The sequence below is a fragment of the Homo sapiens genome, chromosome 22 (genome assembly GCF_000001405.40).
Source record: "Homo sapiens chromosome 22, GRCh38.p14 Primary Assembly".
Taxonomy (NCBI): domain Eukaryota; kingdom Metazoa; phylum Chordata; class Mammalia; order Primates; family Hominidae; genus Homo; species Homo sapiens.
In genome coordinates, this window is record NC_000022.11 from 29406524 (window position 1) to 29422203 (window position 15680).

General features: G+C 44.3%; 1 protein-coding gene and 1 long non-coding RNA gene across 3 annotated transcripts in view; one reads left to right on the top strand and one right to left on the bottom strand.

Annotated features, from left to right (window-relative positions):
- Nucleotides 1-15680, top strand: part of RFPL1 (ret finger protein like 1) — a 54547-nt gene that overhangs the window by 18615 nt on the left and 20252 nt on the right. The window contains exons 2-7 of the mRNA NM_001393612.1: nucleotides 280-354; nucleotides 1980-2044; nucleotides 3051-3115; nucleotides 3654-3681; nucleotides 4175-4655; nucleotides 10489-10809. The gene's annotated coding sequence lies outside the window, so the exon portion shown is untranslated. The remainder of the gene's footprint in view (nucleotides 1-279; nucleotides 355-1979; nucleotides 2045-3050; nucleotides 3116-3653; nucleotides 3682-4174; nucleotides 4656-10488; nucleotides 10810-15680) is intronic.
- On the bottom strand, nucleotides 2545-8917 carry LOC102723305 (uncharacterized). Of its 2 annotated transcripts, none has more exons than XR_007068059.1 (4): nucleotides 8830-8917; nucleotides 5995-6130; nucleotides 4433-4577; nucleotides 2545-3134 (listed from the first exon to the last, which is right to left on the bottom strand). It is a non-coding gene; the product is annotated as an uncharacterized LOC102723305 (long non-coding RNA). The 2 variants fall into 2 exon arrangements; XR_007068060.1 differs by lacking the exon at nucleotides 8830-8917 and adding an exon at nucleotides 6352-6489 and having other exon boundaries at nucleotides 2614-3134.

Below are 15680 nucleotides of genomic sequence, written 5' to 3' on the forward strand. Positions count from 1 at the left end.
GTGACTTGGATCTGCTGCTTTTCTATATTGTCTCATCTAAATAAAGGTATCTGCCTGCACAGTCTGTTTTAAGTGCAACAAACCTTGCAAAATCTTCCTAGAACCCAAATCTAATTCAGGTAGAGTTGAAAAGCAGACGGTGCAAACCGGGATCAAAACTTTCATCTGTGAATAAGTTTTTACTAATTTCTCTGCTATCCTCTGCCAGCAACATGTCAAGCACTGTCTTTATTATAATACATTTCCTGGAATCTATAAGAAGTCTGCTCTACCTTGCAGGTTTGGACGCCCGCTCCAAGCGCTGGTTAAAAATAATATGGAGACGGCACGGGATTTGGCCTCTAGAAAATATAGGTAATGTGGAAATTAAATCATTAAGTTCATTTAAGCAAATAATTCCAGTTTATTCATTCAGTGCTCCATATTAGAGAAACTCAGTAAATGCTATGTCATGTTCTTCATTTATTTCATTTGTGCCAATTTAAATGCATTAAATCAATGGTAGATGATACAACTACACAAGTAAAGTAATATTGACAAGTTAGAGTTGTTCTTTTGTGTGTGTGTGTGTGTGTGTGTGTGTGTGTGTGTGTGAGAAAAGGTCTCATTTGTCACCCAGGAGTGCATTGGTGCAATCACAACTCACTGCGATCTTGACCTCCCCAGGTTCAGGGGATCCTTCCACCTCAGCCTCCCAAGTAGCTGGCCATAAGGCACGTGCCACTATACCAAGCTAATTTTTTTTTTTTCGTAGAGATGGGATTTCACCATGTTGCCCAGGCTTAGTTCAACTTTGATAGTAAAGGACATCTCAAATATTTAGACATTTGCTTTCAGTTTAGTCAATTATGAATACAGCTATTATAAACCTTCCTGTGTCTTGTTTGGAAACACAATTTTTAAAATGTAACTGAGGAAATACTTAGGATTATGATTACTTGCTTGTATGGTAAGACTACATTTTTCTTTGTAAGAATTTCAGTAGAATTTACCAGTGAAATCATCTGAATATACTGTTTTAGTTTTTTGAAAAGATATTAATCATTGATTTAATTTCTAAAATAAATATAGGCCTATTCAGATGATCTATTTCTCCTGAGTTTTGGTCTTCTAAAATAGATTTTAACAGTTAGCCCATTTCATCTACTGTATCCAATTGTGAGCACAGATGTGTTCAGGATATTCCTTTATTATTTACTATTTTTTGATTTGACTCTTCTTAAACAGATATTATTAGTATACTGTGACTTCTTTCTTTCCTTTGTGGGTAGCCAAGGTAGAGGTTTATCAATGTTACTGATCTTTTCAAACAACTGACTTTTGGTTTTGTTGATTTTCTCTGAGGATTTTCTGTTTCCTATTCCATTGTATTCTGCAATCGTTATTTATTTTTCCTCTGTTCTATATCACACTGCTGTTTTTCTCTCATTGCCCAAGTTGAAGCTAAGATTATGAATTTAGACATTTCTCATTATTGACACAGCATCCTGAATGTAACTCATTGAATGTAATCTCATTAAAATGCACACTTAATAATTAAAATGATAAATATGCATGCTTCACTACAATTTGAAAAACACAACAGGGTAGATGATCAATGTAGTGGCAGGATATGTAGATCCACAGAAGTTAAATGATCTTGTAACATTTCATAAAATTGGGGATTTGCCTGGACCTTCAAATGGGGAGGAGGTGTGATGAGATGCTGTCGCTGAACCATACAGTGCCTTTCTGTATTAAACTGTTCTTAAGGTGACATTGATGAGGTTGCCCTAGCTGGAAAGCCAAGGCTCTTTCATTTCTTTCTGCCCCTCTTCTTTGCCTTCCTTCAACACCAAGGAGAATGGTCCAGCAGCAGCTCAGTCCATGCCTGTCAACCGCCCACCTCCACACTCCAGACCCAGTCCATATCCCCCAAGGCTCCTTGTGGGATTCCTCAGCAGCACCAATGCACTGACTGTCACTCTATGTTCTCCTAGGTCCCATTGAAGATGTGCAGGCGTCTGCACACGGCGGTGTGGAGGAGAATATGACATCAGATATTGTAAGATGTATTTCTTTCTCTGGAAGAGAAATGCTTTTTGTTTTTTCTGGGGCTTCTAGAATATCAAGTGAGTATCATTTTTGACTGCCATCATGATTCAGGCCTCAGTGTCATGGACTCTAGCGACCGGTCACTGGAGGTTATGACCAGCTGAGGCCTGATTGAAAATGGCAGTCAAAGGACGGCATCACTTACAAACTGTTTGGTAGTGAGTGTATTTCTCAGTAGCAACCTTTTCTCCTTGAAAAATAATTTTGTATTTGCCAGCCAACATAGACTTGCTAAATATTCCAAAAAACCCACTGCATGTTCCACAAGCATCCTCTATGCTTTATTTGGGGGCCAGTGACTTGATCACTGTTTCACATCCGGTTTTTTATTTCACCAAGTGAATAAAGGCCTTTGCCAACAGAACCCAGCATGATCTGATCCTCATGGTGTTTTTTTTTTCTCTTATTGCAGAGAAAGTCGAAAGCCCAGCGTCAAGTCTGTACATATACTTTTTTTTTTAAACAGCTTTATTTAGACATAGTTGACATGCAAAACAACTCACCCATTTAAAGTACGTGATTCAGCGTTTTTACTATATTTACACGGTTGTGCAACCATTGTTACAATCTCATCTTAGAACCTCTTTATTCCCCCCTCAAAGAAACCCCACTAGTAGTCACTCCTGTTTTTCCCATCTCCCATGCCCCTGGATCTAGGCAGCCACAAATGTACTTCCTGTTTCTATAGTACAGTGCTTTTCTGTATTAACCGGTTCTTAAGGTGACTATTTCGCATTGATGAAGTTGCTCTAGCTAGAAAGCCAAGGCTCTTTCATTTCCTTCTGCCCTTCTCCTTTGCCATCCTTCAACACCAAGGAGAATGGTCCAGCAACAGCTCGGTCCAAGCTTGTCAACCGCCCACCTCCACACACTCCAGCCCCGGTCCACATCCCCCAAGGCTCCTTGTGGGATTCCTCAGCAGCACCAATGCACTGACTGTCACTATGTTCTCCTAGATTTGGTCGAAGATCTCAGTGAATACCCATCTGTCCATCTTGAAGACCTCATGACACCGGAGATGGTAAGATGCATTTCTCTGTCTGGAACAGAAATGTTTTTTCTGGGCCCTCTTGCCTTATTAATGAAATGAAGATATAAAAATCTGACCATGTATATTATAGAAGACAAATACAATTTTTTTGTTGGCTGGAACATCAAGGGAATATCATATTTGATTGCCGTCATCCACCAGGTCTTGGTTGATCATGGACTCTAGCGACTGTCACTGGAGTTTATGACCAACTGAGGCCAGTTGGATGATGGTAGTCAAAAATGAGCGCATCACTTACAAATTATCTGGTAGTGAGCATATTTCTCAGTAGCAACTTTTTCTTCTTGAAAAATAATTTTGTATTTGCCAGCCAACAAAGACTTGCTAAATATTCCATGAAAACCCATTGCCTTTTCCACAAGCATCGTCTATGCTTCATTCGGGGGGCCAGTGACTTGATCACTGTTTGACATGTTGTTTTCTACTGTCACCAAGTGAATAATAGACCTGTGCCAACAGGGCCCAGCATGATCTAATCCTCATGGCGTTTTCCTTTCTCCTATTGTAGGCAAAGGAGAGACGCGAAGATTACCTCTGTAAGTATATCTATATATATATATAGATATATATATAGTAGATATATATTTGTAGATATATATATCTATATATATAGATCTATATATATGTAGATATATATCTATATATAGATATATATATGTAGATATATAGATCTATATATAGATATATATGTAGATATATATATCTATATATATAGATATATATATTGTAGATATATATCTATATATATAGATATATATATTGTAGATATATATATCTATATATAGATATATATATCTATATATAGATATATATATTGTAGATATATATCTATATATAGAGAGATATATATTGTAGATATATATATCTACTATATATAGAGATATATATTGTAGATATATATATTGTAGATATATCTATCTATATATAGATATATATAGATATATCTATCTATATATAGATAGATATATTGTAGATATATCTATCTATATATATATTTTTTTGAGACAAAGTCTTGTTCTTTTCCCCTAGGCTGGGTTAACATGGCACAATCTCGGCTCAATGAACCCATCAGCTCCCAGGTTTGAGGACTTCTCCGGCTTCCGCATCCCGAGTAGCTGGGATTACGGACGCCTGCCACCACACCCAGCTCAAATCATTTTATGAATGCATATTTCCATCTGGGTGAAAAAAAAATCACAAGCCTCTCTCTCTTCCTACTGAGCACCTGTGAACAGTGACCTGCAGTTTGTGGCTGCAGCCAGTCCTCATGGAGCCTGCTGTTCTTACATTTCATTCTGAGGCTCACATTCTCAGTCACCATGCAGAAGAACACCCGCCCCATCCTGGGTCATTACAGAGTGGGCCAATCCATCTGCTGCATCTGAGGAGCTGGGTCCAGCTTCTACGGTGAATCCATATATTTCTGTATTTCCTGGATAAGGAAGAGGAAAGGAGCTGAGCTGGTGGAGGAAGAAGATCTAATATTAACTGACTCCTTATTTTGTACCAGGTACTGTGTTAGTTACATATTTTATCTCATGTAATTCTTACCAAATAGTAAGGGGGTTGGGAGTGATGGAGACAATATTGATATTATCTCCATTTTAGGGTGAGAAAATGAAGGCTCAGAAAGGTTATATAACTTGCCCAAGGTCACTCAGCTGCTGAGAGCCAGGATATGAAACAGAAGTTTTACATTAGAAGCGTTCAAATTTATTTTCAATTTCCCTGCTCCATTCTGAATAGGTATTGGCATTTACCCTTGGGCTATGTAGAACAAGTGCTTTGTCACCAAAACACCTATTGTGAACTCTTTCTGCCCTAGTAGGATTCATGCATTTTATCTTCTTCAAAGTAAAAACCTTTAAGAGCCAGGAATCTGCCACACTGACTCTCAACTTAAATCTCAGCCACTTTTACCTTAAAATTCAGACTTGTGTAGATATCTCTAGAAGACTTGGTGGACTAATCTTTAAGAGTTAATTTGCATGAGGGAGGAAGAGGAGCCCACATTTGCACCAAAGACATGCCTAGAAGTCGGAGCAGGAGGGTCAGCAGGAAGTCTGTTTCTTAGAGTTCCTCCAGCCCAGTCTGAGTGGTAGAAATCAGGAACTGAAAATAAATCTGAAAGTTGTTTGAAATGATGGTAAGACATGGGTAACATAATATATTGGGGGTTTGTGTTATAAATGAGGCTATTTTCTTATGTTTAGTATTTTGTAATTTTAGTAGAGATGGGGTTTCACCATGTTGGCCAGGCTGGTCTGGAACTCCTGATCTCAAGTGATCCCCCCACCTCAGTTGGAGTGAGCAGGACCTGGCCTTCCTGTCTGCCGAGAGTATGGTGTGAACATCATCCTAAGTGCCTCGAGAAAGCAGCTTCCTTATTGTACCATGTCTTCCCCATCTCTTTGTGTGATGATGGCAATGACACCAGCAGAAATTGGTGAGAGGGGCAGAACAGGAATCAGGTCCCCACTTTTCTGACACAGAGCAGACAGGACACGAGTCAGTAGGGATGGACTTCAGGGTCAGGCCAGACACAGAGAGGTCCCAGACCTGATCTTCCTGGGTCTGGGACAGATAAGTTTTCATTTTTCACCTCTTCTGGAAGTCACCTGGGGAATGGTCCTTCAGTAGACACTGTTGGCCAATGGTTGTCTGGCCCAGAAATATGTTTCAACTAGACGTAGCCCCCCAGTTCTTGGCCAGGGCAGTGGCAGCGCTCCCGAGTAGCAGGGGAGGTGGGGAGGGACACGAGTTCCAGGGCAGGGTGAGCTCAGCAAAGGGGTGGGGACTGACCCTAGGGTCCAGGTCATCGAATCCACAACACCTCAGTTTCCACTTACTTTGGAGATGGTTTAACATCTTCAGTATCAAACTTGGGGTCTTCCCACAGATGGATAGAGGAACCCTGGCCATGGGTGTTTGCTGCCAGGGCAGTGACTGTCTCTTCCTCATTTGTTCTTATCCCAGAGCTCAGTCCTGGGGAAGACACATTAGGCCCCATGAATGTTTTAATGAACACACTCCAGAGATGAGTTCTAGATCACCCCTGGGCTGGTATCTAGTGCAGGTGTGGAAAGGTTTTCTTCACAGCCTGTCCAGCCTATTGAGCCCCACACTCATCCTGGAGCCTGCCCAGCTTATGATTCAGGGTCCCTGGAGATGAGGGTGAGCTCCTGAGGACAGCGAGTTGCCCCTACCTCTCTGCTCCTGCCGCTGTGATCTTGTCTAGACAGGGTGTGCAGGGCCATGCTCTTCCACTGGGTGCAAGAGCGCCCCCTGCTGGAATCCCTCTGGACCTGGATATTGTCCTCATGGTCATATCCCCAGCCCCACACAGTGACTGGCCCTTATGCAGATGCCCAGGAAGTAACCTTAAATGTATGGTAGGATCAGAGCAGCAAACGATTCTGCAGAAAAAAACACCAGGATAGGGGAGTCTTGTCTTCCTCATTTCTGGATCTCTGGAGCTGTCCCATCTAGTGTGGTTCTCAGTCATATATGTGCCTCTTCATGGTTAAATAAATTTAAATATATACAATTAAAAATTCAGAACCTCATCAACAGAGACCATGCAATGGCCCAGCAGCCACATGTTTATACAGCTCGAGTTTTCCTTCTTTCCACCCTTTGATGAGAACATGATCTTCAGGCTGGTGCTGGTTTACCAGAAATTCTCGGGGTGGTACATGTGCTAAAAGACTTTTAGTTTTGAGGGAAAGGAAAGTGGGAGATAAATCAAGTATATAATTTTTAAGAAATGGACCTTTTATTTTAAATGTAGGGACATCAGCAGTGGACTTTATAGTCCTTGGTGCCTTCTTACTGAGAAATTTCCTTTAGCACCTATTTTTATTAGTTTTTAGACCAAAGAAAGCCAAACACCATTTTATATTTGACAATGCTTCCTGTATGTTTATACCAGATAAGCTAGATTTCACCTTTATATTAGTGTTATTAATGTTAAACAGTTTTAATAAAACTTTGTAGACATATTTATTCAACTTTTAATGTCTGACCATAAGATTTTTATAGGCTTTTTTAACCTTTTATAATTTTTGTCAAACAGCAGGTTAGCGCTTTAAGAAAAACCCGTTGTGTTTTTATTTTAATGTCCAGTTCACAGAAAAACTGGATGATACCCCTTTAACTTTAGCCAATGTTTACACACAGAATTTTCTTTACAATTAACATTTCAAAACTTGCTTAAACCTTCAAAACTATTTTTGTAACCTTTTAATGTAGGTAAAAATTCATATTCTTATGCTTCCTTATAATCCTTTTACCAAAGGCATATTTTACTTACCTTATACACCTTGCACATAAACTGTTTCTTCAATAGTTTTACATTCAGGAGGACTAATTAATTTAAATTATACAACATTTCTTGCATAAATTTCTTTTTCTAACACTTTTTTTCATGACTTTCACAGACAATTCTTCGACATGCCTCAACTTTCTGACTTATTGGAAACATCCCTTTCTTTAAACAACTAGTTAGTTTATTTCAGGACAAGAATTTTCCATATAACATTCCTTTTGCACCCCCAATTTTTTCTTTTTTCGAAGATGATAACCATTCTTTTCCAAAGCAAACTTCCTTCATGTCTGTGGACTAGATTTTCTAAGGCCACAGATTAGAAATTACCATAATACATGTTACACTGTTAACTTTTAGCAAAACAACTTTACTTTTGTTGAAAACCTTGTAAGTGTGGGATTTCAATTATCCTTTGCTATAAATAAGACATTGCTTAGTCCAAATTAACTTAGAATTGGTATAGATGGCTTTTTTTTTCCTGGTTCTGTAAGTACTTCAAGGCTTGGCTGAGTGGCAAAGTTGAGCAGACCAATTATTAGGCAATTTTCCTAACTCTGCTTCTACAAGAGTTTTCCTCAATTACAGAATACTGATTGTGTTTTTTTTTCCTTAATCACCTGGGAGGAACTATCTATCATCCTGTCCTGAAGGTAGTTCCTCCTAGGTCTGGTCAGACCTTTGTATGGTAATTAAGATTTAAATCCCCTGTTAGGAAATCTGCTGGGTTAAGGGAATTTTCAGGGGTTTATGTTAAATCATCTTTTTCTAACGGAGTAGCCCCATACTTTAAGATTTTTGAGTTATGAAGCTACCTTTTTGCTTTTTTTTTTTTTTTAATTAGGATACTTCTGAACTGGTGAGGTGTGCTCACAATGAGGTTTCCTCTAAAAGTTATCTTTCTACTTTCTTCTGTCAGCAAAGCAGTTGCCGCTACAGACTGAATGCATTTGGGCCATCCGTGGGTTAGTGGGTTCACGGAATTCACATCAAATCAGAATCAAAACCAAAACCAAAGTGCAGATAAAGGCACGCCCGTTCGTCAAGCAGTTTAAACCAAGTGAAAATCAAAACCAAAACCAAAACCAAAGTGCTGATAAAGGCACGCTGTGGGTGATCAGGCCATGCTTCCACTCAAATGGAGTGGACAAGTTCCCAAGACCGGTCCTGTCAAGCAGCTCAAACCAAGTCAAAATCAAAACCAAAACCAAAGTGCTGATAAAGGCACGCCCGTTTGCCTAGGAATTCAAACCAAGTCAAAATCAAAACCAAAACCAAAGTGCCGATAAAGGCATGCCGTGGGTGATCAGGCCACGCTTCCACTCAAATGGAGTGGGCAAGTTCCCAAGACCAGTCCTACCGTATTCCAGATATCTGGACTCCAAGCGCCAGTTCCTTCCCGGTGTTCAGCCACTGCACTGATCCTCTGCGGGGGCCTGCCATGCACTGCTCTGACGAGGCATTGCACCGGGGCAAATGCCTACCCAGGAGCATGCTCAGGAACCGCGTAGCTCAAGCTGGCCGGAGTCCCCTGCAGGGATGCTCCACAGGGCAAGCCTAAGCTGCCTAAGAGGCTGCCTCGCTTCCCGGTCAGGGAACCAAGAAATGTAGCAGGATGAGCCACAGACAAAACTCCTCAGACACCGGGTTAAACAAGGAAGAGGCTTTATTCGGCCGGGAAATCGGCAGACTTGCGTCTCAAGAACAGAACTAAGCTCCCCGAAGAAAGAGTTCCTGGCCCTTTTAAGGGCTTACAACTCTAAGGGGTCCAGGTGACAGGGTCGTGATAGACTGAGCAAGCATGGGGTACGTGACTAGGTGGGGGTAAGCAAGGCAAGTATTTCTCCACACCATTGTCTGTGATCTATAGATAGCACAAGCGATTAGGGTGGGGGTTAATCTTCAGCCTACAGGCTAAAGCAACACCAGAGAGGATGGAAGTGAGACCCCTGGAGTTGTGGTTGTGGTCAGATTGGACCTTCCCGTGGCTGCTGAGACCCTGGGGCATTGGAGACACCTGAGGATGCCTCCCTGCTCTTACTTTGTGGTCACCAAGAGATTGGGGTTACCACAACCCTATAATGTAGAGAATCCCTGTCCCCTTCCATGCCACTTCATTCTTTAGGGAAGCAAACGCCCTCCCAGGAGCTCATTCCCATTCCTGGGCCACAGTCAAAGGGAAAACCTGATCCAGACATGAATTTCCTTGGGCCTCTGCATTTCCAGACATCCTGTCATTGCATGCATGGGGCTGACTGTCTCATCTCAGCTTCAGAAGGGCAGGCAGAGTTGTGGACACCCTGCTGAGCAAATGCCCACCGGAGTCAGGGGTTCAGCTTTCCTGCATCACTGCTGCAGGTGGGGGCTGGGGAGGGGGGCATAGGGGGTCCTAGGGAGTAGTTTTTGTATGAGCCTGTGTCACAGCACTTGATGTTTAGCAGAGAGACCCAGCTGACCGTCCTAAAGAAAGATGCAACTGAAACTCACTTCCCAGGGCCTTTATAACTGAATGAGACAACATACTTAGGTATCTGGTCCTTGATATCTGGGAGATGCTGAGTAAATGAAAATGATCCTTTCTCCCTCTCTGATACTTAATGTGGCCCCTTACTTTGGGCTGCTGGTTCTGGAGGGTCGCAGGGAAGCAGGATGGCTCACGCTGCTTTCTCCACAAGCTCTGGCACCCAGTAAGAACCAGCACAGCATGCATGGAGCACACACCATACACCAAGCTTGGTGCTAAGAGCTTTACATGCTTGATCTCATTTAACTGCCCTTAGAAGTCAGGGGATGATCCCCATTTCAGAGAATACTGAGGTTCATAAATGTCAAATAACCTGCCTGGAGGAGCCAGGTCTGAGAACAAGGTCCATGCTCATGACCACTGGGTGGAACCCTTCTCAACATGGTACCCGTGGTCCCAGAGTCACAGGCCTTCTCAAGATGTGAAATTTGGTTAGAGATCAATTTTCTATCTCTGGAATCATCATATCCCCTCTCAATTCTTATGTATTTACAGTCAAGGACGTGTCAACATAGAGACTTAGGAGGACAAAGTGAACTTCCTGATCCCCAACAGGCAGATCCCCAAAAGCCAAAATGTATGTGTCACCTTGGAAGATGACGCACCAGGAAGAATGGGGAGGAGGGAGGAGGAAAAACTGCTGATGAGGCCGACTCGCTCTTTGGGGCTTATCATATCAGCAAAGCCAGCTCTTTTGAGATGGAAGAACAAAGATGTTTCTCCTCTGTGAGGAGGTGACAGTGGTGTTCTGGGTGAAGGAGAGCAGCTTTGTCCTGGAAGGAATCTGACTTGGAAGGAGGCCCAGTTGTCCAGCAGGTACCTGTTCCCTTTCTGCTCTGGCTTCCAAAGGGCTCTCTGCAGAGCCCCTTCCCGGAGCTGCTGGCAGGAGGTCCTTTGCTTGGGGGGTGATCCATGGGGACGTCTGGAGCAGTGGGAGCCTATCTTGGGACCTGGATGGGAGCTGCTCCACCTCAGCACCCAGGTTATGAGGCACAGGGCTGGGCACCACGAGGGCATGGGTGAAAGTGGCCTGGATTTGGATTTCAGAAGAACTGGGCTTGAGTCCTAGTTCTGCCATAAACCATGTGACTCTTAGGCAGTCACTTTATGTTTTTATTTCTTTGGCAGTAAAACTGTCATTACCTACAATATGGGAATTGTAAGGAACTACTGAGAAAACAAATCTCAAAATGTTCTGTGCAGACTCTCAAATACTGTGCAAATATCAAGCTGTTTTAAAATCCAGTCTCTGCCTTTGAGATTTTACAATCTGGTGAGCAGGTAAACACAAGTACACATAACAAGAGAACAGTCTCCATTTAGTGCTGGGTGATGGGAACAGAGGCAAATGCTTTGAGTTTGGGGTAGTGAGCTGGGGTGATGAGGGAAGGCAGGAATGCGGGGAAGGCAGACCTTGAATGGTTTTTTTTTTTTTTTTTTTGAGAGGGAGTCTCGCTCTGTCATCCAGGCTGGAGTGCAGGCTCAGCTCACTGCAGCCTCTGCCTCCTGGGTTCCAGCAATTCTCTGTCTCAGCCTCCTGAGCAGCTGAAATTACATGTGCCCGCCACCATACCCAGCTAATTTTTGTATTTTTAGTAGAGATGGGGTTTCACCATCTTGGCCAGGTGGTCTTGAACTCCTGACCTTGTGATCCACCCTCCTCGGCCTCCCAAAGTGCTAGGATTACAGGTGTGAGCCACCGCACCCAGCCTCGAATGGGTTTTCAAAGATGGGAAGACAAGCTGGGTCACTGGGCGCTCCCACAGGGGAAGCATGAGCCAAGGTGCGGCAGCCGCTCTACACACGACCTGCTTTAGCTATCGGGTGCGATAGAGGCTGCACACCGGTGACAAATTAGAGAAATCCAATCTGCACATGTATTTTACTTGCACCACACAGTGTTTGTTTAATATCATCTGGCCACTTAAGACAGGGAGATTTAAAATGAAAAATCCAGATTTCCCATTCTTCTTCGTCTTCTTTTTTTTTTTTTTTTTTTTTGAGACTGAGTCTCGCTCTGTCACCTGGGCTGGACTGCAGTGGCACAATCTCAGCTGAATGCACCCTCTGTCTCCCAGGTTCAAGCAATTCTCCTGCCTCAGCCTCCCGAGTAGCTGAGATTACAGGCATGTGCCACCATGCCCGGCTAATTTTTGTATTTTTAGTAGAGACAGGATATCACCACATTGGCCAGGCTGGTGTCGAACTCCTGACCTCGAGATCCGCCCACCTGGGCCTCCCCAAGTGCTAGGATTACAGGTGTGAGCCACTGCGCCTGGCCCAGATTTCCCATTCTTTTTAAAAACCAGAAGACCTGGCCACACTGGGTCCTCTTCCCCAGCCAGTACTGATCCTCTGGAGTTTCTGAGAGGGTTCATGCCACACCCACTCCATCACCTGCTGCCTTTCCCACCTACTCCAGTTAACTCACTCCATCACCACCTGACCTGTCAGTGTCTGGGCTCGTGATTCCTGTGTAAACAAAACCTTCTATTGGGAAGAAAGTTTTATGAAGGGAGCTGTATGAGGGGAGACATGGGTCCCTAGACACCCTAAAGGAGAGACTGAAGTGGACCCAAGCTATAAACCCTCCCCTGTCAGCCAGCTTCCAGCTGCCACCAGGCCTACTCCTACACACCTGACATCTTTGCCCACGGTCATCGATGCAATCACTTTCTTCACTGCCTCCTTCTTCTTCTCCTTCTTGTCACTGTTGAGCTCTGCCTTCAGCTCGAAGATCTCCCCTAAGGAAAGGAGGCAAGCATGAGTGATCCCTCCCTACCCTGGCAGGGGACAATTCCCAGTATCTAACTTCCAAAAGAACCGGAGGGAGGCACGTAAGACATCCTATGCTGTTGGCTGAGGGAAGCTTCAGGCGCCTGGCCTCAGGTGGGCCAGGCAACAGTGAGGGATGACTGTTAGGACAGGAATTAACAAGATGGAAACTTGTAGGCCGGGTGCAGTCGCTCACACCTGTAATCCCAGCACTTTAAGAGGCTGAGGATCAGCTGGGCACGGTGGCTCATGTCTGTAATCCCAGCGCTTTGGGAGGTCGAGGGAGGCAGATCACGAGGCCAGGAGATCAAGACCATCCTGGCCAACGTAGTGAAACCTCGTTTCTAATAAAATACAAAAAATCAGCGCGATTTTTTGGTGCAAGCCTGTAATCCCAGCTACTCGGGAGGCTGAGGCTGGAGGATTGTTTGAGGCCAGAGGTCGAGGCTGCCATGAGCCATGACACCACTACACTCCAGCCTGGGTGACACAAAGTGAGATCCTCTCTCCAAAAAAAAAAAAAAAGAAAAGAAAAAAAAAGAAACTTAGAGGCCACTCTGGATTGAAGCAACAGGAACCATGGAAGCTACAAAGGTTCTGAGGAAGACAAAAGCATCAAAAACATGATGGCAGGCTCTGCTCAGCCAGGGAGCTAAAAACCCAGTGGAAGGCAAAGCTGTCCTCAGCTACCCTCACTCAACAAAAGACCCTTAAAAGGCTCAGTGCAATAGAACCTGAGTACTTAAGGCTTGCGGGGTGAGAGCAGGATTTGTGGATTCCCACATGGAGGCCTTTCCTGTTTTCCTCAAACCTCTAAGACAGCTTGCTCAGGATTTCACTTCCTGAGACACAAGTGGTTGCTCAGCTCTGAAAATGGGAATTCAGCTGCTCCATGAGAGCTCAAGCATGAAATCAATTGTTCTGAAGAACTTCATGATGTGAGAAAAACAAATGAGGAAGTAGGGTTGTCTGGTCCTGCCATGGACAGATAGTCAGGACCCTGATAACAGGTTAGGAGGGCAGATGTCATTTCCTGACCCCTTCTCTCTCTTTTTTTGAGATGGAGTCTCGCTCTGTCACCCAGGCTGGAGTGCAGTGGCCCCATCTCAGCTCACTGCAACTTCTGCCTCCCGGGTTCCAGCAATTCTCCTGCCTCAGCATACCGGGTAGCAGGGACTACAGGCACGTGCCGTCATGCCTGGCTAATTTTTGTATTTTTAGTAGAGATGGGGTTTCACCATGTTGGCCAGGCTGGTCTTGAAATCCTGACTTCGTGGTCTGCCCTCCTCAGCCTCCCAAAGCCTTGGGATTACAGGCATGAGCCACTGCAGATGGTTTTTTGCTTTTTTTTTTTTTTTTTTTTTTTTGAGACGAAGTCTCACTCTGTCTCCCGGGCTGGAGTGCAACGGTGCGATCTCGGCTCACCACAACTTCCACATCCCGGGTTCAAGCAATTCTCCTGCCTCAACCTCCCAGATAGCTGGAACTACAGGCGGGCACCATCATACCCTCCTAATTTTTGTATTTTTAGTAGAGACGGGGTTTCACCACGTTGGCCTGGGTGGTCTTAAACTCCTGACCTCAGGTGATCCACCTGCCTTGGCCTCCCAAAGTGCTGGGATTACAGGCGTGATCCACCGTGCCCAGCCCCCCTGAGCCCTTCTCTAAGCCCAGTCCCATACTAACTTGTTCCCACACATTTTCTTATTTCATCCTCACAACTCTGCATTTCCCTCCATTTCGCAGTGAGCAAATGGAGGCTGTGAGAGGCTCAGTAACGTAAACCCAATGCCAGCAGGTGGTAGGACTGAAACTCAAAACCAGGTCTGCTAGCTCCAAAGCCCATGCTCTCAATCCCTATGCTTGGGCCTACCCAAGATACTCACTTTGCTTTCCTAAACCTGTTTCCTTGTCTCTTTGGCTGGAGCATTGAACCCAGGCATGTCTGTCCACACATCTCTCTTCCCAAAAGAAATCCACTAAAAAACCCCAACCCCAAAATAAAAAAATTAGCTCGGCATAGTGGCACGTGCCTGTAGTCCCAGCTACTTGGGAGAATTGCTTGAACCCAGGAGGCTGCAGTGAGCAGAGATCTTCCCATTGCACTCCAGCCTGGGTGACAGAGACTCTGTCTCAAAAAAAACAAACAAACAACAAAACCCACCCCTGGGACTCCAATACACTCAGCACTACGTTCACCCTGTGGCTCACTAAGCCCCACAAGACTGATCCCTGTGTACCTCTCCAATTGCTTTCTCTCTTTTTTCAATTAGTTGCCCAGGCTAGACTCGAACTCCTGGGCTCAAGCAAGTAATCCTCCCACCCAAGCCACCACCTGGGGCGCCACTGTGCCTGGCTCTAACCTCTTCTTGTATCACCCTCCTCGGTAGCTCATGCCCACTACCTTCCTTTCCCCAAATGTGTCACAGGCACAGCACTCACTCCTTCCCCTTCCTATCCCCCATCGATCTGGCCAGCTCCACCCAGAGCTCTCCCACAGTCCCCCCTGGACCCAGTACACTTCAGTGTGGTTACTACTCTACAGACTGTCTTCCCTGCTCAACCTTGAGCAACACCAGGTCAGAGGCTCTGTTTCTCTTCCACTGCACATGGTAGGTTCTCAGTAAAAACCAGCTAGACCAATACATGAAATGCCTGATAAGGGGCAGACTTCGGGTCCTGGATCAGCTGATCCAACAACAGACTCTTTTCATCTGGTCGGCAGGCATGTGTCAGTATCACTTGGAAGGAAGGAGGGAGGAAGGAAGGGCTGGCCAGAAAGATGCTTACAGGGTCAAAGCACATTTGTCAGCTACGACAACATCCTCCATTTCCTTAAAAGCAGAAACAACCAAAATATCCAACGATATAAGCCTAGCTTAGCAAATTTCAGTGTAGCTACTCAATAGACT